A 23,536-nucleotide genomic window follows, 5' to 3' on the forward strand; every position below is an offset into this window, starting at 1 on the left:
CCAAGGGTTAGAATTTCAACGTAGGAATTTTGAGAGGACACAAACACCCAGGCTATGACACGGTCTTTAGAAAATCCCAGAATGAGTTGTCAGGTTCTTGGGAGATCTGTAACTGTGGGAAAGCGTCACATCCCAGGGAAAGCCACCAGCTGGGAGAGCCATCCCAGACAAGGCCTGCTCCCTTTGGGCGGACCTCTGTGGAGAAGCCAGCTTGGCACGTTCTTTCTCCTCCACTGCAAAGTTAAATGCGAGAAGGTAGAAACCCAGAGGCCATGCTGGCGCTGAGAGATGAGCCCCACTCACCAGATTCAAGATCCCAAGGTAGGCACAGACACAGGGCAAGCAGACTCCAATTCCAGGAGTTTGGAACTTAAATAGAGTCATAGAGACACTCAGATCTGATCAAAGTGAGTGCACTCGGTGACATTTCCTAAAGGGTTCTGACAACTTCATCTGCAACTGGGGCTGCCCCAGGTTCTGCACCTCCAGCTCACAGCGCACAGGTGTTGCTGAGCTCCTCTAAACAATGAACAGCACTAACAAGTGGGTTTAGGTAGGGATGCCTGCCAGCTGTGTGGATCAGGCCCCAGGGGAGAGGCCGGGGTGGAGGTCAGCCCGGGAGTCTGCACACCTGCAGCTTGTTTCTACCGCACACAGATGGGCATGGGTGAAAATCTTTACAAGTGCTGCAGACTTTGGCAAAGCCTATAAATTCAGAGCAGCCCGGAGAGGAGAAAGGAAAGTGGATGTGGGTTCAGGCCGCATGAAATGGAGATCCGATTGCCTGACTTAGCTTTGAAGCGAATCTTCTCTTTCCTGGACCTGTTCGGCTTGCTGCAGGTTTCCCAGGTGAACAAGGTAAAGGCCTTCCACCTCCCACTGCCCCCCAAGCCCGCTGCTTCTCTCGACCAGTTTGAGCACCACTTTGCAGAATAGCAGAGGGTTACACTGAGGCTTTGGGGGTTAGCATTCTTCATACTGAGGGCCTCATATTCTGTTAAACGAAAAGGACAAGCTGATATCCAGGAGTTGTGCTGACTAAACAGTCCTTGAGGCTCCCATTTCAAGCCCTAGGAAATCAACACTTCTTCCTGTGAATTCATGGGAATACCCAGTGCCTGTATTAGCAGTGATAGGTCTCTGTTGTTACCATTTCCTTATCTCCCCACACTGAGAGTGCTTTGAGAGCTGGAATCCCATCTGATTAACCTGTGCGGGCCCAGCTCCCAGAACAAATAATAGCAGAGGATTACCCTTGCTCTCTGATGTAACTGATTGCCTGCTTGTCTCTTCCTTTCTCTCCCATAGCATTGGAATAGGATTGCAGACAGTGATTACCTGTGGAGGTAAGGGAAGGGAAAGGGCAAGGAGGGAAGGGGAGAGGAGATCATCTGACTGCGCACCCATGCTGTGTCCCAAGGCCTGTGTGGCTGTGTTGTGAGATATACACAGGAAAGTTAGTGTGAGTAGGGGGTTGTGATATAACCGGGGCTCTGAGGAGGTGAACTGACTGAGAACAGCCTGATGGGACTGTGACTCTGTTTCCAGGTCACTATCTCTGCAGAGATGGGACTGCAGCAACTTCACCAATCAACACCTGGGCACACACACATGGAAGCAATTTTTCCTGCATCAAAGAAGGAAGGAGCTTCGGTTGGCATTGGCACAGCCGCATAACTTTATCTACAAAGTAACTAAGAACATCGGTATGGGTATAGGTGCCCTAGAGGAACATGAGCAGCTTGTTTTCAGAGGTCCACTCTATTTGATTTTTGCTGTGTGCAGTTGTGTATTCTCATTCAGTAAAGGGAAAAGGAATTAAAATTGAACCAGACTGGGTTGCCGTGATAGCCATGTGATATCTCCCTGCTTCCTCTCTTGTCCCCACCATCTGTGCTGAATGAAGAAACTAGAGTGATTTTTTTTCACAACATAAAATCAGGTCCTGTTACTCCCTTTTTCCTAAGGCTTCTCATCCCTCCCAGAATAAAAATCAGAAAAAAAAAATTAATGGGAAACTCTAAAAAACAGAGGCTTGGCTGGGCACAGTGGCTCATGCCTGTAATCCCAGAACTTTGAAAGGCCGAGGTGGGCAGATCACTTGAGCCCACGAGTTCAAGACCAGCCTGGCCAACAAAGTGAGACCCCCCCTCCATCTCTATGAAAAAATTTAAAAAATTAGCCTGGGTGACAGGGCCAGACCCTGTCTCTAAATAAATGCATACATAGGCTCTACAGCTGCAGCCTCAACCTCCTGGGCTCAAGAGATCTTCCTGCCTCAGCCTCCTGTGTAACTGGGACTACAGGGGTACACCACCACAACCAGTTGATTTTTTTTTTTTTTTTGAGGTTGAGTCTTGCTCTGTCATCTAGGCTGGAGTGCAATGGCACGATCTCGGCTCACTGCAGCCTCTGTCTCCTGGGTTCGAGTGATTCTCCTGCCTTAGCCCCCTGAGTAGCTGGGATTACAGGCATTTACCACCATGCCCAACTAATTTTTGTGTTTTTAGTACAGATGGGGTTTCACCATATTAGCCAGGCTGGTCTTGAACTCCTGACCTCAAGTGATCCACCTGCCTTGGCCTCCCAAATTGCTGGGATTCCGGGCATAAGCCACCATACCCGACCATATTTTTTAAATTTTTTTGTAGAGATTAGGTCTCACTTTGTTACCCAGGCTGGTCTTGAACTCCTGAACTCAAGCGATCCTCCCACCTCGGCCTCACAGGCGTGAGCCACTGTACCTGGCCTAATCCTGATAACACTTTTTTTTTTTTTTTTTTTTTTAAAAACAGAGTCTCATTTTGTCTCCGAGGCTGGAGTGCAGCAGCATGATCTTGGCTTACTGCAACCTCCGCCTCCTGGGTTCAAGCAATTCTCATGCCTCAGCCTCCCAAGTAGTTGGGATTACAGGCACCTGCCAACATGCTAATTTTTGTATTTTTAGTAGAGACAGGTTTAGCATGTTGGCCAGGCCGGTCTAGAACTCCTGGCCTCAAGTGATCCACCTACCTCAGCTTCCCAAAGTGCTGGGATTACAGGCGTGAACCACTGTGCCTGGACTTGATAACTCTTTTAAAACTCAGAAAAGTTCTCTGATGGAGAGATTTTAATATGCCTTTTATATCTATGGAAACTGAGGATAAAAAGGAAAAGCAAGTTGGCCAACATCTCCCAAATGGCCAGTCTGCCGTGGGAACCTGTGTTTGGATGACTCTGGAGCCCAATTTCTATCTTCTCCATATTGTTACCCAAACCTTCCTAAGAGGGTACAGAAATATTTTAAATTATCTTCTTTTGGTTTGGATCATCCCTTAACTATCTGGTGGCCAAGTCTTCTATGTTTCCTTCTAGCATTTGAGACGGAGTTGGCTTATCTCTCAGGAAATAGACTTACAGTGGATGAACAGGAGAAATCAATCATTTGTAGTGTATCTCCAAAGCAAGAGCTTTGTGCCTGGGATGTGCAAGAGGTGAGTCTGGCCAATATGTGGCAAAAGTACTGCATATTTGCATCCATCCTGTTCTATATATGAAACGGAAGTGCTGAGAGGAAAATATTCGGAAGTGGTAACAAAAACAAAGTGTCAAATCAGGTTTTCTATCATGTAATTTGTGACCTTTTCATTTGGACCATAGACACACATAGAATTCACTTTTGTTGTTGTTGTTATTTTTGTTTGTTTGTTTTTTGAGACTGAGTCTCGCTCTGTTCCCCAGGCTGGAGTGCAGTGGCAGGATCTCGGCTCACTGCAAGCTCCGCCTCCAGGGTTCACGCCATTCTCCTGCTTCAGCTTCCCAAGTAGCTGGGACTACAGGCGCCCGCCACCACGCCTGGCTAATTTTTTTGTATTTTTAGTACAGACAGGGTTTCACCATGTTAGCCAGGATGGTCTCGATCTCCTGACCTTGTGATCCGCCTACCTTGGGCTTCCAAAGTGCTGAGATTACAGGCGTGAGCCACTGCGCCCGGCCTTTTTTTTTTTTTTTTTTTTTTTTTTTGAGACAGTCTCACTGTGTTGCCCAGGCTGGAGTGTAGTGGCGCGATCTCAGCTCACTGCAACCTCCGCCTCCCGAGTTCAAGCGATTCTCGTGCCTCAGCCTCCTGAGTAGCTGAGATTACAGGCGCGCGCCACGATGCCCAGCTAATTTTTGTATTTTTAGTAGAGACGGGGTTTCGCCATGTTGGCCAGGCTGTTCTTGAACTTCTGGCCTCAAGTGATCTGCCAGCCTCAGCCTCCCAAAGTGCTGGGATTACAAGCATGAGCCACTGCACTTGGCTGAGAATTTACTTTTTAATATGTGTTTCTATATATAAATTTGTATAAGGTCTTATTTTCTACCAATAACATGGAATGCATTTATGAAATAATTTTTGGGCTTTCTGCATCTTTATTACCTGTTCTATTGCCTCTTTGTCAATGATTGGCATTTGTTATATTGGCTTTTTCAGAAAGTGGTCTCTAGCTCAGATGATCTCCAAGGCGTGCAAAGGATTTATCTCAAAACTGAGTGTGGCTTTTGTCTAATGGTATAAACTGCAGTGAGGTTCTTAGGAGACCCATAAAGTTTTTGTTGAAGAGAATTACACTGAGAGAAACACTGTCAGCTTGGATTTAAAGGGGCCAAAACACACAAAAGGAAAAGAGGCCTTTTGGATTTCAAAACTTTTACAGGCAGGAAGCAGACTACCAAAAACAATTTAGCTAAAAAATTGGGCCACCGCATAGAGAAAGCGAAGGATGACCCAGACAGAATCAAGAGCCTAGAGAGTAGAACCAAGAGTCATTAAAGATCTTTCTTGGGCCTTGAGTCCTAATTGACAAATTGCCAGCATGTTTTCTATTGGATTTCAAAATTTCTTGTAGCAGTGATTCCTATTTTTCCATTTTCACCTTTTCTGAATAACAGTGACTATGTTATCCTGCGCTTACCCCACACTTGTACTTTGGGGATAGTGAGGGACAGATAACTTGTATATTTAGTTTGAAGATTTTCACGTCAAGATAAATTGAATCTAAAGAGCTTCATCTATACCTGGACCTAGAAACAATGAGAGCCTAGATTCTGCAATGATACTACAATGGTATGAGACATTTGAGAGCATTGGGAGATGGTGGATATATTTTCATGTAGGGGGAAACTGAATCACTGGAGGCTGTGGGGCAGACTACAGCTGCCAATCTCTGAGATGGCCCAAATATTTTTGCCCCATGATAATCACGATCAATCTTGTGTAGTCCACTGCCACAGTCAATAGGGCTGACCTGTGCAACCAATAGGATATTGTGGAAATTATGGTGTATAATTTCTGAAGCTATGTCACAGAAGACAATTCTTCACTCATGGGTCATCAGCTCTTGGAGATCCAGCCACAGTGTTATGAGAGCTCTCAAGCAGCCCTCCAGAAAGATCTGTGTGGTGAGGGACTGAGGACCCCTGCCAGTAGCCAACACCAACTTACACAGCTATATGAGAGGCCATCTTGGAAGTGAAACTTGACTTCACCCTCATGAGAGACCTACAGCCAGAACTACCCAGTCAAGCTACCCCTGAATTTCTGATCAAAAGAAACAGAGTTAGCAAAAGCCTGTTTTAAGCCACTAAATTTTGGGATGCTTGGTTACATGGCCTTAGATATTACTGCATAGGCAACTTGTTATAGTGTGAAAAATCAAAATAATGATTACATTTGGGTGCGGAGAGCCATGGGGGAGTTGTTAAATAGAGCACATGCAAAGGGGACTTCAGGAGGGCTTAGAAGTGGTACATTGGTAATCACTTGTGATAATTTATTAAACTTCGTGCTCTTTTCTTATATGATATACTTTACAATTTTTTTAAAGGCTAAAGAATCATCTAGAAAGACAACTATTCTATCTTGTATGTAATGTACAAGGTTGAATAACAATTTTAATGATAGTTAATACATTTTGGGTTCCTACTGTGTCCTAGGCAGAATTCTAAGTATGTTTCATGAGATGTGAAAGGTAATGACAGCCTCATTAGAAGGCATGATAGAAAGTGACTTGCTGAAGGCTGCACTGTGAGTAGGAGGCAGAGGTGATTTGAACCTATGAAGTCTGATCATTCTTTGCGCCTGTTATGTACCAAGTTCTTGTCTCGGAGCATAATGTGTAGTTCCTGTTTTCATGTTCACTCCTCCAAAATATTGAGATGTGGAGAACTTTCATATCCTCTGCCCAGAAGCAAGAAGATCTGATTTGGAAGAGGCTTCCAAATAAACATGGGCAGAATGAAAGCACAGTAGGTGTAAGGGTTCCTTGAACACAGGTCGTGTTACTCTCGTTTTCTAGGGTACCATGATCTGGTCAAGCCCAGTCCAGGAGTTCCATTTCTCAAATCTGGTAACCCTCCCTCAGATGCATCTCGCCATCACTATGGATCGGAAAAAAACTATCAAAGTGTGGAACTGTCAGGACAGGGACGCTCTGGCTGTTCTCCCCATGCCACAGCCCTGTTATTGCATGGAAGCCTATCTTACAAAGGATGGCCCATTCCTGATGGTAAGTGAGCCCTGAATTTAGAGGGGACCAAAAAATCAAATGCCTGTTGTCTTGTCAGGCATCCGTGTCACATTACTGTCCTATCCCTTTTTTTTTTTTTTTTTTGGAGACAGAGTCTCACTCTGTTGCTCAGGCTGGAGTGCAGTGGTGCAATCTTGGCTCACTGCAACCTCTGCCTGCTGGGTTCAAGCAATTCTCCTGCCTCAGCCTCCTGAGTCGCTGAGACTACAGGCACACACCACCATGCCTGGCTAATTTTTTGTATTTTTAGTAGAAACTGACCAGGCTGGTCTTGAACTCCTGACCTCGTGATCTGCCCACCTCAGCCCCCCAAAGTGCTGGGATTACAGGCATAAGCCACAGCGCCTGGCCTATTTCTCTTGTCATCCCTTCCACATACCCTGCGAGTCAATCACAGTATATCAATGAATGTTATACAAACCTCCACACTATCTTGCCCCTTGACTTGCCTCAAGTACATTTCCCCAGCAATTCTTCTAAAGACAAAAAGCCAAAAACTTCCTGAATTACTTTATATGTGCCTTTTCTTTCAAGTGGTGTTATTGTCCAGTCCATGAACTTGGTTGGGGACAGTTGAGGGAGAAGAGATGGCTTTGGGGTGACATTGAGAAAAAGCATAGTGTTGATGTGCTAATGAATAACTGTCCTTGAGAAGAATGCTTTGGGGCTTGGAAAGTTTTATTCCATGGGATTATCCCAACAGTGTCTCAAGCTAGACTGGTCAGAGGTTTTGATCTCCATTATGTGATTGAAGAAACAGTGGCATATCTTGCAGCTCATAGTGCTGCCTCCTCTGTACTTCAGGATTTCACATATCTTCCTATTGATATGGTGGGGATGCTTTGGTTTCAGGTTGGCGATGCTGCAGGTGACATCTACACATTTACACTGCCTGGGTTAAGAGATGTTTCTAAAGTTACTGCATTTCAATATGGTATTGTACTTCTACACTGCTCTCCTGACAAGAAATGGGTATTTGCATGTGGGACATACAGTCGTACCTTGCCACAGGTAGGTGCTGTTCTGTGTATTTCAATTTCAGGATAGGAATGTCAAGTTAGGAAGCATGCAGAGAAACTGCAGAGCTCAGTGAGGACCAGGCACACTGCTCCTTCCTCTCTAAGACCACATCACAAGGGGAATCCATTGTGATGGTCAGGAAACAATGCTCTTTGAAGTAACAACATCCAGTTGCTGTGGCAAATGTTTAACAAAAACTCGTTCATGAAGCCCGAATTTGCCAAAGAGATGGAAGAGGGTGAGACAGGTATCAAGAAATAGGGATTGCTGGGCATGGTGGCATGCACCTATAGTCCCACTTACTCAGAAGGCTGAGGCGGGAGGATCACGTGAGCCCAGGAGTTCCAGGCCATAGTGTGCTATGCTGATAGGGTGTCCACACCAAGTCTGGCATCAATACGTTCACCTCCTGGGAGCAGGGGACCACCAGGTTGCCTAAGGAGGGGCCAACTGGCCCAGGTCAGAAACAGAAAAGGTCAAAACTCCCATACTGATCAGTAGTGGGAATGCACCTGTGAATAGTCACTGCACTCCAGCCTGGGCAACATGGCGAGACCCTACCTCTTAAAAAAAAAAAAAAATTTTTTTTTTTTTTTACAAAAATATCTTTGTCCTTGTTCTCTTTTGCCTTCTTTACTTTTATCTATGTTGGCTGCAAAGTGTAGAGAAGTCCAAAAGTAACTGAATATGCAACAGCCTCTGAATATCACTCTGAGGAAGGCTTTGGCCTTTGAGCAGGCCATTTGTAGTGGGGCACTGGTGGACTGGGCACCAAAGAGGGAGGAGTTCAGAAGGCAGGTAGTAAAAGCCACACAGCCCTTGACTTGTTCCCCAAGAAGGGAAAATCTGCTTAGCCAACCTCAACTTGACCAAGGGTTCAACATGGCAAGATGGTTTCATAACACCTTAGCATGCTTCAGGGACATTGTTCTGTGAATGGGACAGGAAGAATAGGAAGACAGTGAGTTCCTTTTATGCTGGAGTGATAAGCAGTGACCACTCATCACTCCTGAGATATTGAACAAAGCTTTGGCCACAAGATGAGAATTTCTAAGAAGGCTCTTCTGGAGTCACTCCTGTACTGAGAGGCTATAAGTTCCCTGCCCCTGACCATGCATGCGATGCTCTCTTTAGGTATTCCTCACAGAGTCCTTACTGAGACCATCAGAAGGCAGTGTTCCTCTGTCTACCTTTCTCCCACATAAATTATGTGCCAGCGCCTGCTGGACCCCAAAGGTGAAAAACAGGATAACACTGATGTCCCAAAGTAGCACTGGAAAAAAGACAGAATTTATCACCTTTGATCTAACAACCAAGAAGACTGGAGGCCAAACAGTCATCCAAGGTAGGCTGTGCCACATTAGAAACGCTTGTTTCTCTTCCTCATCACACAGTCATTCGTGTTTAGCTCTAATAAATGGGTCAGCCTGTATAAAGTGAGCAGGGGATTTCTAGTTTTTTTTTTTTTTTTTTGAGACGGAGTCTTGCTCTGTTGCCCAGGCTGGAGTGCAGCGGCACAATCTCGGCTCACTGCAAGCTCCACCTCCTGGGTTCACGACATTCTCCCGCCTCAGCCTCCCGAGTAGCTGGGACTACAGGTGCCCGCCACCATACCCGGCTAATTTTTTGTATTTTTAGTAGAGACAGGGTTTCACCCTGTTAGCCAGGATGGTCTCAATCTCCTGACCTCATGATCCGCCTGCCTCGGCCTCCCAAAGTGCTGGGATTACAGGAGTGAGCCATCGCACCCGGCCAGGAGCAGGGGATTTCTTTAGCTGGGGGTGAACCCATCCCAGTTCGACTCTAATACCCATGCTGATCTCTACCCCCACCCTGCTCTCTTGGGCGAACACATATAGATTTCCATCATATTTTAGGGCCTGGGTTCCAATGCCCAGGGGATTGTTTATTGTCCACAAACCTCTGTTCCTGTGTCCTAGCACCTGTTACCACAGTCAGTGATATGTATTTGTCAGGCCACTGGACTACCCTTCATTTTCTTCCCCGGAATGAAGTCTGTGGAAGTGGGGACTATGCTTTTTTATTCAGTGTGAGGATATTATTATTCAATGACCTGATCTTTACTTCCTTATGTGTGTGTGTATATATATGTGCGTTTTACATGAAAACAGCATATGAGATCGCAAGTTTCCAGGTGGCAGCTCATCTGAAGTGCCCTATCTGGATGGGAGCCAGTGATGGATATATGATTGTCTTTACCAGTGGACCATACTTGTTACTCTTCAGCATCACTGGCTTCCTGCTGCAACGATTTGAGGACCATCAGGCAGCCATCAACAACTTCTGGGTGGTATGTATGATTCTCCTCCACTGCTTTTTGATCTGACTTTGACTCCTTGGCCACTCACTCTGGCTATCCTTGGAAGGATCCTTGCTATGTGCTCACCACATCCGAGAACTCTGTGCACGTGTACATGTGGGAAGAAGGAGGCCGCCATCCATACCTCAGGAGCTGCTGTCACCTGGAAAACACGTGGCATGATCACACAACAGACAGGTAAGCTCTGTTTTGTGATGTAAACATCCCCTAAACAACTTTTTTTTTTTGAGACGGAGTCTCCCTATGTCACCAGGCTGTAGTGCAGTGGCGTGATCTCAACTCACTGCAACCTCCGACTCCCGGGTTCTAGCAATTCTCCTGCTTCAGCCTCCCAAGTAGCTGGGATTACAGGCATGTGCCACCACACCTGGCTAATTTTTGTATTTTTAGTAGAGACTGGGTTTCCCCATGTTGGCCAGGATGGTCTCGATCTCCTGGTCTCGTGATCCGCCCGCCTTGGCCTCCCAAAGTGCTGGATTACAGGCGTGAGCCACCGCACCCTGCCGAAAACTTCTAATTTCTACATCAAGATGAATGAAGGGAAAACAGGGGTTTTTTTTTTTAAGGTTCTCTGAGGATAGATATCAATAAACTCATGCCTGAAAAGAGAATCGCTAGTTCTTGAAGTCATGGGACTTGCAATAGATGTTAAGTCTTCCCAAAGTGGCTCTCAATTTATATTCCCATGAGCAGTGGATAGATTATGTCCCAATACCCTGTGTTTTCTTGCTGAGTTGTACCTTTTGTGAGTTCATTAGCCACTTGCTTGCTGCTTCAGTGAGCTGCCTTTCCCTCCATTTTGCTGATTTTTGCCCCTGGTTTGCTTGCCTTTAAATTGTTTTTCTTGAGATTTTACGTAGTACACGTAGAAGTCTTGTCTCTTAAGGCTTTGCACACATTTTCTTCCAGATTATTGCTAGTCATTATACTGCTTATAGTGCTTTTTTGGCAACATCTAAGAAAATACATATATCCTTTGCACTGCCAACACCACTAAAAAGAATTTACTGTGAAGCTATACCTCCAATCATTCAAGTACATTGGCTGTTCATTACAGCATTTGTGATAGTCAAGAGCTGGAAGCTCCCTAAGTGTCCAAACATAAGAGATTGTTTAAATTACCATCGTATATCCACACAAGGAAGTATCAGGCAGCTGTTATTAACTTTTTTACAAGAATAGGAAAATGTCTATGTTCAGATAATGATTTCCAGTGTTTTGAGGCAAAAATACTTTAAATATCTATAAGCATGCTTAGCAGACTTTCATGGTTTTTGCTCTGTATATCATATCTAATAAATTTTAGCCTACACCAATCATAAATACTTATTTCCTTTCAATAATTTCAAATACTTCCCCTGGATTTTTTTTCTTTCTTACATTTGAATGGATGTATAGTGATACCTCATTGTGATATTTATTGTGCCTTTTCCCAATAACATTGAGCAATTTATTTGCCATCCACATTATCTTCTTTAACACATTTTTTCAAATCTTTTGACCATTTTTTAATTGGGTTGTTAATATTGAGTTTCTTAATATCGAGTTTTGATAGTCCTTTATATATTTGGAATACACGTCTTTTATCAGATAAGGGTTTGCAAATATTTTCTCCCACTCTGGTTTGTCTTTCTATTCTCTTCACAGTGTCTTTCAAAGAGCAAGGGTTAACTTTGAAGTACAATTTTTCTTCTAAAATGACTGGGCTTGGGGGATTGTATCTATGAAATCTTTGCCTAACCCAAGATCACAGAGATGTTCTAAGATTTCCTCTAAAAGTTTTACAGTTTAGGGTTTTACATTTAGGTCTCTGATGTATTTTGAGTTAAATTTTGTAAGGGAAAGATAAAGATCAAGATGTATTTTTTTGTATATGAATATTCAGTGATTCAGCACCATTTGTTGAAAAAACTCCTTACTCCGTTGAATTGCCTGTGTACCTTTGTCCAAAATCAACCATATTTACATGGGTTAGTTTTGAGACTTTCTCTTTTGTTCCAATCATCTATATATGTATCTCTTATCAAATAACACACTACATTGAAAATGTAACTTTATAGAGACTTTGAAATCAGATAATGTGAGTCCTCTAACTTGTTCTTTTACAAAATTATTCAGACTATTCTGGTTCCCTTGTTTTCCAAGTGAATTTTAGAATTGGTTTGTAAATTTTTACAAAAATTCTGAGATTTATATTGGAATTTGTTTAGATGTAGAGATTAATTAGGGGAATTGGCATCTTTACTATTTTGGCTCTTTCAGTACATGAACCTGAATGTCTCTTACTGTTTTAGGCCATCTTTATTTTATCAGTGTTTTTGTAGTTTTTAGGATAAATATTTTGCACATATTTGTAAAATTTATACCTAAATATTTCGTGGTTTTGGTGCTATTATAAAGAGTACTGTCTTATTTCAATTTCCATTTTTCATTACTAGTATATAGAAATACGACTGACTTTTGTATATTGACCTTGTATCCCGCAACCTTGCTAAACTCATTCATTCTAATAGCTTTTATTCATAGATTGGTAGATACTTTGTGCTTTCTCTATGTAGACAATCATGTCGTCTGTCAAACAGTTTTCTTTCTTTTCAAATGTATGCCTTGTTGTTCTTCCCTTTTTGCATTGGCTATAACCTCCTGTGTGGCACTGGAGTGGAGAGCCGACATCCTTCCATTGGATGAAAAGTGTTTGGTCTTTCACCATTATTATTATATTCACTGTATGTTTTTGTAGATGCCCCTTACTGGGTTGAAAATGTTCTCTTCTAGTCCTAGATGGCTGAGAGGTTTTTGTTGTCATGAATAGATGTTGAATTTTCTCAAAGACATTTTCTGTATAAATTGATATAAGCATATAGTTTTTCTTTTTTAGGTTCTTAGTAAGGTGAATTATATTGATTTTCTTTTTTGTTAGTGGTCAGGACAGAGTATCTTATTAGTTTTTAATTAACAAATAATTATATATTTATGGGGTACAATGTGATTTCATAGATGTATATATTGTAGAATGATTAAATCAAGCTAATATATCAATCACTTCATACACTTACTTTTGTGGTAAAAAATACTTAAAATCTACTCTCAGCAAATTTGTAAATATGATACACTATTATGAACTACAGTCACCATGCTGTGCCACAGATCTCTGAAACTTATTCCTCCTGCCTAATGGAAATGCTGGGCCCTTTGACCAACATCTCTTCATTCCCCCTCTCTCCCAGCCTCTGTTAACCACCATTCTGCTCTGTGCTTCTGTGAGTTCGATTTTTTGTTTTTTCTTTAAGATGTCACACATAAGTGAGATGATGCAGTATTTGTCTTTCTGTGCTTGGCTTAGTTCACTGAACATAATGACCTCCAGATTCATCCATGCTGTTGCACGTGACAAGATTCCCTTCTTTTCTAAGGCTAAATGGTATTCCATTGTGTGTGTGTGTGTGTGTGTGTGTGTGTGTGTATGTATCTACACATATACCACATTTTCTTTATCCATTCATCCATTGATATACACTTAGGTTGATTCCATATCTTAGTTATTGTGAATAGTGCTGAAGTGAACATGGGAGTAATGAGCGTGCAGACATCTCTTCAACACACCAATTTCAATTCCTTTGGATGTATACCCAGGAGTGGGATTGCTGTATCATATGATAATCCTATTTTTAGTGTTTTGAGGAACTTTCATGTTGTTTTCCATAATGGCTGTACTAATTTACATTCCCACCTACAACATACATGGGTTCCCTTTTCTTCACATCCTCACCAACAATTGTTTATCTTTCATGTTTTTGAGCATGACCATTCTAACACCTCTAATGAGGTGGTATCTCATTGCATTTTTATTTTGCATTTCCCTGATAATTCATAATGCTGAGCATTTTTTCACATATTTGTTGGCCATTTTATGTTTTCTGTGGAAAATTGGCAATGAAGAACCTTTGCCCATTTTAATATGGTGGTTTTCTTGCTGTTGAGTTAGAGTTCTTATATATTTTGGATATTAACCCTTATATGTATAATTTGCAAATATTTTCTCCCATTCCATAGATTGTCTCTTTGATCTGCTTTCTTTCCTGTGCAGAAACTTTTTAGGTTGATGCAATCCCGTTTACCTATTTTTGCTTTTGTTGCCTGTGCATTTGGGGTCATATCCGAAAACTCATTGCCCAGATCAATGTCACAGAGCTTTTCCCCTGCACTTTCTTCTTGTAGTTCAGGTTTTATATTTAAGTCTTTAATCCATTTTGAGTTTTGTATGTGATGTGAGAAAAAGTCCCAACTTTTTTTCTTTTCATGTGACTATCCAGTTTTCCCAGTGCCATTTGTTGAAGAGCATGTCCTTTCTCCATGTGTTCCTGGCACCTTTGTTGAAAAACAATTGACTATAAATGTGCAGGTTTATTTCTGGGATCATTTATTCTGAGCTGTTGGTCACTGTGCCTGATTTTATGCCAATATCATGCTGTTTTGATAACTGTAGCTTTATAATATGTTTTGAAATCAGATAATATGCCACCTCCAGCTTTATTCTTTCTCAAGATTGCTTTGAGTATTTGGGGTCTTTTGTGGTTCCATAGTCATTTTAGGATTGCTTTTTCTATTTCTGTGGAAAAGGTCATTGAAATTTTGATAGGGATTGCATTGAATCTGTAGATCATTTTGGGGAGTATGGACATTTTAACAATATTCTTCCAATCCATGAATATGGGATAGCTTTCCATTTATTTATGTCTTCTTTTTCTTTTATCAGTGTTTTATAGTTTTCAGTATATACATCTTTTACCGCCTTGGTTCAATTTACTCAAGTATTTCAGTTTTGGATGCTGTTGTAAGTGGATTTTCTTCATTTATTTTATTGGATATATGGAATTTCTGAACATTAAATCAGCCTTGCATTCCTAGACTAAATCCCACTTACTCATTTTATATTACTTTTTTTACATATTGTGAATTGAGTTTAATACTTGATGATTGTTGGGTTCTGTGTTCATGAAGGATATCATTTTGTAGTTTTCTTCTTCTTCTTCTTTTTTTTTTTTTTAGGCGAAGTCTCGCTCTTGTCCTCCAGGCTGGAGTGCAATGGCATGATCTTGGCTCACTGCAACCTCCACCTCCTGGGTTCAAGCGATTCTCCTGCCTCAGGGTGTTATTTCTTCCTTAAATGTTTAGTAAACTTCAGTAGAACAATCTGGGCCTGGAGATGACTTTTTTGAAAAGCTTTTAACTATAAATTCCTTAATAGTTATAGTACAACTCAGATTATCTATTTTATGATGGGTGAGTTTTTACAGTTTGAATTTCCAGCAATCAGTCATTTTATCTAACTTGTCAAATGTGTGTAGATTTGTTTTTTAATCTTCTTAATGCCTGTAAAATTTGTAATATGAACTCCTTAATTTGTAATACTGGTAATTTGTGTCATTTCTGTGTTTTTTTGTTTTGGTTTTGGTTTTGTATTTTTTGGTCAGCCTTACTAGAGGCTTATTAATTTTAATTATTTTTTCAGAGAAACAGCTTTTGGTCTCTATTTTTTTTTTTAACAACCTCTATTTTGCTATTCTGAATTTGTCTATGTCAGCTCTTAAATTTTATTTTCTTGCTTCTGGTTACTTTTATTTTGCTATTTTTTCTAGTTTGTTTGTTTGTTTGTTTTTAGACACAATCTCAACCTGTCAGGCTGGAGTGCAATGGGGTGTTATGTCAGCTCACTACAACCTCTGCCTTCTGGGCTCAAGTGATCCTCCCACCTCAGCCTCCCAGAGTAGCTTGGATTACAGGGGTGTACCACCATGCCAGACTATTTTTTAATTAATTAATTTATTTATTTATTTGTGGAGATTGGGTTTTGCCAGTTTGTCCAGACTGGTCTTGAATTCCCAGGCTCAAGCAATCTGCCTATCTAGGCCTCCCAAAGTTCTGGGATTACAGGCATGAGTCACTGTGCCTGACATTTATTAGTCTCTTAAGGTGGATGTTTAGATCATTGATTTCTGACCTCTTTTTAAAATATAAGCATTTGGTGTTCTAAATTCTCCATTAAACACTGCTTTAGCTGCAATCCTCAGATTTTGATTTTCATTCATTCAGTTCCATATACTTATTTCCCTTTTCCTCTTTGAGCCATGGACTATTCTAAAGTATGTTTAATTTCCAAGATTGGAGATTTTATTGTGGTCTTTTTGGTCATCAATTTCTAATTTAAAGCAGTTAGGGCCAGAGAGCATATTCCATATTTTCTTCATTCTTTTATAGTTGTTAAAATCTGTTTTGTCACCCAAGATATGCTCTATCTTGGTGAATGTTCCATGTGAGCTTGAAAAGAATGTGTGTTCTTCTCTTGTTGGGCACAATGTTTTATAAGTAACAATTAGATCACCTTGGTTGATCTTCTTCAGTTCTTTTCTATCCTTTCTGATTTTCAGTCTAGTGATTCTATCAATTGAGAGACTGTTGAATTTCCTATTACGGATTATTTATCCTCTTTGTTCTATTAGTTTTCATGTATTTTGCAGCTCTGTAACTTGCTGCATACACATTTAGGATTAATATATCTTCTAGGTTAATTGGCCCTTTTGTTTTTGTGTAATGTCTCTCCTTGTCCCTGGTAATCTTCTTTGCCCTGAGGTCTACTTTATCTAATACTAATTTAGCCACTCCTGCTTTATTTTGGTTAATATTTGCATGTTATATTGTTTTTCATTCTTTTACTTCCAATCTACTTATATCATTATATTTGAAGTGAGTTTCTTGTAGATAGAATCTGGTTGGGTCATGCTTTTTATCCATTATGCTAATCTGTCTTTTAAGTTTAAGTATAAAAGTTTAATGGACAAAGAATATTTGTATATATTTATGGGGTACAATATGATGTTTTCTTGCATGTATACGCTGAAATGATCAAATCGGGCTAATTAACTTATCCATCACTTCAAATATTTATCATTTATTTGTGGTGAAAACATTTAAAATTTCTTTGAGCTATTCTGAAATATACAATATGCTATTATTAACTATAGCCACCATGCTCACCAGAATTTATTCCTCCTGAAGAACTGAAACTTTGTACCCTTTGACCAACACCTCCCTGTTCCCTGTCTAACCCCCTGCTCTGACCCTGCTTGGCCTCTGGTAAACACCATTCTATCTTCTACATCTACGAGTCTAATTTATTTAGATTCCATGTATAAGTGAGATCATCAGGCATGGTGGCTCATCCCTGTAATCCCACCACTCTGAGAGGCCAAGGTTAGGCGATTGCTTGAGCCCAGGAGTTCAAGGCTGCATTGAGCTGTCCATGTTTGCCCATTTTTTAATGGGTTTGTTTTTTACTTGAGTTGTTTAAGTTCCTTAGAGGTTCTGAATATTAGGCCTTTGTCAGATGCTTGATTTGTGAATATTTTCTACCATTCTATAGGTTGTCTGTTTACTCTGTTGATAGTTTCTTTTGCTGTGCAAAACCTTTTTTTGTTTTGTTTGGTTTTTGAGATGGAGTCTCACTCTGTCACGTAGGCTGGAGTACAGTGGCACAATCTGGGCTCACTGCAACCTCTGTCTCCTAGGTTCAAGTGATTCTCCTGCCTCAGCCTCCTAAGTAGCTGGAATTACAGGCATGTGTCACCACACCTAGCTAATTGTATTTTTAGTAGAGACAGGGTTTCACCATGTTGGCCAGGCTGGTCTTGAGCTCCTGACCTCAAGTGATCTGTCCGCCTCAGCCTCCCGAAGTGTTGGGATTACAGGTGTGAGCCACCGTGTCCAGCCTGTGCAGAAGTTCTTTTAATTAGGTCCCACTTACCGATTTTTGTTTTCATTGCAATTGCTTTTGAGGACTGAGTCATAAATTCTTTCCCAAAGCCAACACTGATGTCTAGAATAGTGTTTTCTTAGGTTTTCTTCTAGGACTCCTATAGTTTGGGGTCTTACATCTAAACCTTTAATCTGTCTTGAGTTAATTTTGGTGTATGGTGAAAAGTAGGGGTCCACTTTCACTCTTCTACATATGGCTAGTCAGCTATCCCAGCACCATTTATTGAATAGGGAGTCTTTACGCCATTGTTTATTTTTGTCAACTTTTGTTGAAGATCAGTTGGCTGTGGGTGTGTGGCTTCATTTCTGGGTTCTCTATTCTGTTCCTTGAATCTTTATTCTGTTTTTGTACCAATACCATGTTAATTTGGTTATTATAGCCTTGTTTAGCCTATAGCCTATAGTATAGTTTGAAGTCAGATAATTGATGTCTCTGGCTTTCTTCTTTTTCCTCCAGATTGCTTTGGCTATTTAATATGGAATCAGGATCTTTCCTGATACCATATAAATTTTAGAATAGTTTTTTTCTAGTTCTGTGAAAAATGACATTGGCAGTTTGATAGGAATAACACTGAATCTGTTGATTGCTTTGGGCAGTGTGGCCATTTTAATGATAATTGCTTCTTCTACTCTATGAGCATGAAATGTTTTTGCATTTGTTTTTTAATGTCACCTAGGATTTCCTCTTTTTTTTTTTTTTTTTTTTTTTTTTGAGGCAGAGTCTTACTCTGTTGCCCAGGCTGGAGTGCAGTGGTACAATCTTGGCTCGTTACAACCTCCACCTCCCAGGTTCAAAAGATCCCCCTGCGTCAGCCTCCCAAGTAGCTGGGACCACAGGCACGTGCCACCACACCTGGCCAATTTTTGTATTTTTAGTAGAGATGGGGTTTTGCATGTTGGCCAGGCTGGTCTCAAACTCCTGACCTCAAGTGATCCGCCTGCCTCAGCCTCCCAAAGTGCTGGGATTACAGGCGTGAGCCACCACATCTGGCCTATGATTGCTTCTAGCAGTGTTTTGTAGTTCTCCTTGTAGAGATCTTTCACCTCCTTGGGTAGATGTATTCCTAGGTAACTTATTTTGTGGGGTGCTGTTGTAAATGAGGTTTCATTCTTGATTGGCCCTCAGTTTAAACATTATCAGTATATGGAAATGCCACTGATTTTTATACATGGATTTTTGTATCCTGAAAACTTATTGAAGTTGGTTTCAGTTCCCGGAGCATTTTGGCAGAGTCTTTAGGGTTTTCTTTGTATAGAATCATATTGTCTTGGAGCATAGTGGCTCATGCCTGTATTCCCAGCACTTTGGGAGGCTGAGGCAAGATGATCACTTGAGCCCAGGAGTTCGAGACAAGCCTGGGCAACATACAGAGACCCTGTCTCTACAAAAAAAAAAAAAAAAAAAAAAAAAAAAATAGCCAGGCATGGTGGTGTGCACTGGTGGTCCCAGCTACACAAGAAGCTGAGATGTGAAGATCACTTGAGCCCAGAGGTTGAGGCTGCAATGGGCCATGATTGTGCCACTGCACTCCAGACTGAGTGACACAACAAGACCCTCTCTGGGGGGATTTAAAAAATACATATTATATCTATCTATACACACACACACACACACACACACACACACACACACACATATATATATAAAATCAATCATATTGTCATATTGTCCACAAATAGATAGTTTTACTTCTTTTCCTATTTGGATGCCCTTTATTTCTTTCTCTTGGCTGGCTGCTCTAGCTAGGACTTCCTAGCTAGAGCAATCACTACTATCACTACTAATCACTACTAGTCACTACTATGTTTACTAGGAGTGGTGAGAGTAGGCATCCTTGTCTTGTTCCAGTTCTCAAAGGGAATGCTTCCAGTTTTTACCCATTCATTATGACGTTGCCTGTGGATTTGTCATTGATGGCTCTTATTTTGAGGTATGCTCCTTCAGTGCCTAGTTTCTTGAGGGTTTTTGTCACAAAGGGATACTGGATTTTATTGAAAGCTTTTTCTGTGTCTATTGAGATGATCATATGGTTTTTTGTTTTTAATTCTGTTTATGTGGGGAATCATATTTATTGACTTGCATGTGTTGAACCAACCTTGCTCCCAGGAATGAAGCCTACTTGATCATGGTGAATTAGCTTTTTGATTTGCTGTTGGATTCAGTTTGCTACTATTTTCTTGAGGATTTTTGCGTCTATGTTCATCAGGGATATTAGCCTGTAGTTTTCCTTTTTCATTGCCAGTACCATTTATTGAAGAGACTGTCCTTTCTCCATTGACTGTTCTTGGTACTTTTGTTTTAAAAAAAAATCAATTGACCTTAAATGTGAGGGTTTATTTCTGGGCCTTCTATCCCATTCCACTGGACAATGTATCTGTATGTATGTCAGTACCATGCTGGATTTTTTGTTTGTTTACGGTTTGTCTCTGGGGATACAAACACAAGAACCGGCCAGGCATGGTGGCTCATGCCTATAATCCCAGCACTTTGGGAGGCCAAGGCAGGCGGATCACGAGGTCAGGAGATCGAAACCATCCTGGCTAACACGGTGAAACCCCATCTCTACTAAAATACAAAAAATTAGCTGGGCATGGTGGCGGGCATCTGTAGTCCCAGTTACTCAGGAGGCTGAGGCAGGAGAATGGCATGAACCCAGGAGATGGAGCTTGCAGTGAGCTGAGATTGTGCCACTGCACTCCAGCCTGGGTGACAGAGCAACACTCAGTCTCAAAAAAAAAAAAAAAAAAAAAAAAAGCCCACAAGAACCATGATGTTTTGATTACTATAGTTTTGTGATGTATTTTTAAATCTGGTAATGTGATGCCTCCAGCAAATGTGCTAATGAGGTTTGCTCAAGATGGCTTTGACTATTTGGGGTCCTTCTACACTGTGTGCTTTATTTGTTGTTTGTTTATAACATTATGCTGCTGACCAGGGATACTCTGTTTTAATTGGTATATTAACTTCTTTCAGCATTTGAAAAATGTTGTGCCTCTTCCTTCTGACTTCCATGATGTCTGAGAAATCCATTGTCGTTCAAATCTCTATATCTCTCTAGATAATGTGTCATTTTGCTCTGGTTGAGTACAAGTTATTTCCTTTGTTTTTAATTCTCAGAAATTTGATTAGGATATGTCTGGTATGAAATTCTTCGAGTTTAACCTGTTTGGGTTTGATTAACTTTTTGAATCTATAGGTCTACGAATTTGGGGATGTTTTCAGCTATTATCTCTGCAGTGCTTTGTGGGCAGAGGAAGGGGTACCCTTTTTTTTTTTTTTTTTTTTTTTTTTGAGACAAAGTCTCACTCTCTTGTCCAGGCTGGAGTGCTAGTGGCATGATCTCAGCTCACTGCAACCTCCACCTCCCGGTTTCAAGCAATTCTTCTGCCTCAGCCTCCCAAGTAGCTGGGACTACAGGCATGCACCACTATGCTCAGCTAATTTTTGTATTTTTAGTAGAGACTGGGTTTTGCCACGTTGGTCAGGCTGGTCTCAAACTCCTGACCTCAGGTAATCCACCCGCCTTGGCCTCCCAAAGTGCTGGGATTACAGAAGTGAGCCATCACACCTGGCCTGGGGTACCATTTCTACTCACGTCAGTGCACCGGGGGAGATAGTCGACAGGACTCCATCTCAGTGTCTTCAGGGCCTGGTGGGGAGGGGGAGAAGTGTCACCTTTACTTGAGTTAGTGCAAGGCAGGGATGGTCAACAGGGTACTAACCCTACCTGGGCTTCTGGTGGAGAGGGGTAAAAGTGTCACTTCATTAATACAGAACAAGAATCAACAACAGAGCTATGCTCCCACCATTTCCTCATCATACAGTGGGGAGGGAAGCGTGGCATCTCTTATGATATTCAATTGGAGTAGAGCAGGTATACTCAAAAGGGAGCAGAATTCTATTTTAAAATAAAAATCCAGGGCTGGGCACAATGGCTCACGCCTGTAATCCCAGCACTTTGGAAGGCTAAGGCAGGCAGATCGCTTGAGTGCAGGACTTTGAGACCAGCCTGGGCAACATGCTGAGACCCCATCTCTATGAGAAAATATTTTTTTTCTTTCTTTTTTTTTTTTTTGAGATGGAATATTGCTGTGTCACCCAGCCTGGAGTGCAGTAGCGCGATCTCGGCTCACTACAACCTCCGCCTCCCGGGTTCAAGCAATTCTCCTGCCTCAGCCTCCCGAGTAGCTGGGACTACAGGCGTGCACCACCACGCCGACTAATTTTTTGTATTTTTAGTAGAGACGAGGTTTCACTGTGTTAACCAGGATGGTCTTGATCTCCTGACCTTGTGATCCACCCACCTCGGCCTCCCAAAGTGCTGGGATTACAGGCGTGAGCCACCGTGCCTGGCCTACAAGATAATATTTTTAAAAATTAGCTGGGCGTGGTGGTGCGTGCCTGTAGTTCCAACTACTTGGGAGGCTAAGTTGGAAGGATCATTTGAACCCAGGAGATGGAGGTTGCAGTGAACTGACATGGTGCCACTGCACTCCAGCCTGGGCAGCACAGCGAGGCCCTGTCTCAGGAAAAACAAAAACAAAAACAAACAAAAAAACAACCTCTCTAATCATCATTAAACCAGATAATCTGTCAAATCAGATACTGACAATTCTGGCAATAATATTTGAGAGCAGGTTGTGATTGCTATTCCTGCAAATAATAATCAGTGTAACTTTCCCTGATTTTATGTAGTTATTCAAAACCAAATCTAAGAGCACGAAGGACCAATTAATTTGGAAAGTATTGATATCTTAGTCAAGTTCTAAGTCAGTATTAACAATGGATGTACCTACTTTCTCTTTTGTTCACTGATGATCTTATTTTTCCATTGACAGCTGCATCTCCAGTGTGATGTGTGATAATGCAAGCATAGTACTTAGGGTGAGGAAAGTAAGTGACTCCAGCATTCTGGTGATGTATTCTTTGAATACGTAATATGGAAACTAACAAAATTGACCTTGCATCATCTTCTGCAATGTAGTAAAGAAATTCTATTTGCAAGCCCAGAATGATTATTTTAGTGAAATTTAGATGCTGTGGCCTGAAGTGGTGGCACATGGCTATAGTCCCTGCTATTTGGGAGGCTGAGGTGGGAGGATCCTTTGAGCTCAGGAGTTTGAGCCTGCAGTGAGCTGTGATTGTGCCATAGCACTCCAGCCTGGGCAACAGAGTGAGACCCTGTCTCAGAAGAAAAGGAAAATTAAAGAACAATGAAAGTGGACATATGACATGGCTGAAGAGATCTGGTTAAGCCATTTTCTTGATTATAAGAGAACAGAGTCTATAAGGTAATACATGGGCAGTGGAGACCAAAGTAGAAGATAAGACAGAGGGAGAGAAATGTGTAGAATCATGTACAAAGAATGTCACTTGCCAAAGGGAACAGGAATAAGTAGAGGATCCCACAAGGATCTGCAATTCCCAGATAACTTAGGTTAAAAAGGGGGTAAAATTGAATTGCTGTTGGGTTTTCATTTTCCAGAAACATGGTGGAAATGCATAGCACCTCAGCATTGTTCAAAACTGCAAACACAAAGCAAAACTAAAAAAATCCATGGTTAGATGGCTGGAATAGAATAGAAACTTCCAAAATTGGAGAATGAAAAAAATCCAGAAAATTCAACAAATGCTGAAGTTAATGTCTTATTTCATAGAATTCCAAAGGCTACATGATGAAATACAGGCCTCCACCAAATTGGTGGTGAGATCAGAAATCTACAAGATCCGGGACCCTCAGAAAAGTAATACTCCTTGTAGGTAAACTGAGGGAAAATCTATTCGTTAGAGAAGGATGAACAGCTACCTCCCTCA

The 23,536-nt window shown here is 41.4% G+C and overlaps 1 protein-coding gene and 1 pseudogene across 3 annotated transcripts; both read left to right on the top strand.

Annotated features, from left to right (window-relative positions):
- Positions 1-219: 219 nt before the first annotated feature.
- On the top strand, positions 220-22,726 carry FBXW12 (F-box and WD repeat domain containing 12). Of its 3 annotated transcripts, NM_207102.2 has the most exons (11): positions 220-321; positions 685-858; positions 1,309-1,346; positions 1,549-1,706; positions 3,355-3,473; positions 6,318-6,527; positions 7,401-7,559; positions 8,703-8,913; positions 9,701-9,879; positions 9,956-10,086; positions 22,561-22,726. In NM_207102.2, the coding sequence occupies exons 2-11, from the start codon at positions 769-771 to the stop codon at positions 22,658-22,660; spliced, it is 1,395 nt and encodes a 464-aa protein (NP_996985.2). In that variant the 5' UTR covers positions 220-321; positions 685-768; the 3' UTR covers positions 22,661-22,726. The 3 variants fall into 3 exon arrangements, with proteins under 3 accessions (NP_996985.2, NP_001153399.1, NP_001153401.1); NM_001159927.1 differs by lacking the exon at positions 6,318-6,527 and having other exon boundaries at positions 658-858; NM_001159929.1 differs by lacking the exon at positions 685-858.
- RN7SL321P (RNA, 7SL, cytoplasmic 321, pseudogene) lies at positions 7,835-8,133 on the top strand (annotated as a pseudogene).
- Positions 22,727-23,536: the final 810 nt, after the last annotated feature.

This window comes from Homo sapiens, chromosome 3 (genome assembly GCF_000001405.40).
Source record: "Homo sapiens chromosome 3, GRCh38.p14 Primary Assembly".
Taxonomy (NCBI): domain Eukaryota; kingdom Metazoa; phylum Chordata; class Mammalia; order Primates; family Hominidae; genus Homo; species Homo sapiens.

Coding starts and splice junctions, on each gene's coding strand:
- FBXW12 (NM_207102.2), top strand. CDS start 769: ATGGAGATCCGATTGCCTGACTTAGCTTTGAAGCGAATCTTCTCTTTC. Junction 859..1,308: donor AGGTTTCCCAGGTGAACAAG/GTAAAGGCCTTC, acceptor TCTCTCCCATAG/CATTGGAATAGGATTGCAGA. Junction 3,474..6,317: donor GTGCCTGGGATGTGCAAGAG/GTGAGTCTGGCC, acceptor CTCGTTTTCTAG/GGTACCATGATCTGGTCAAG.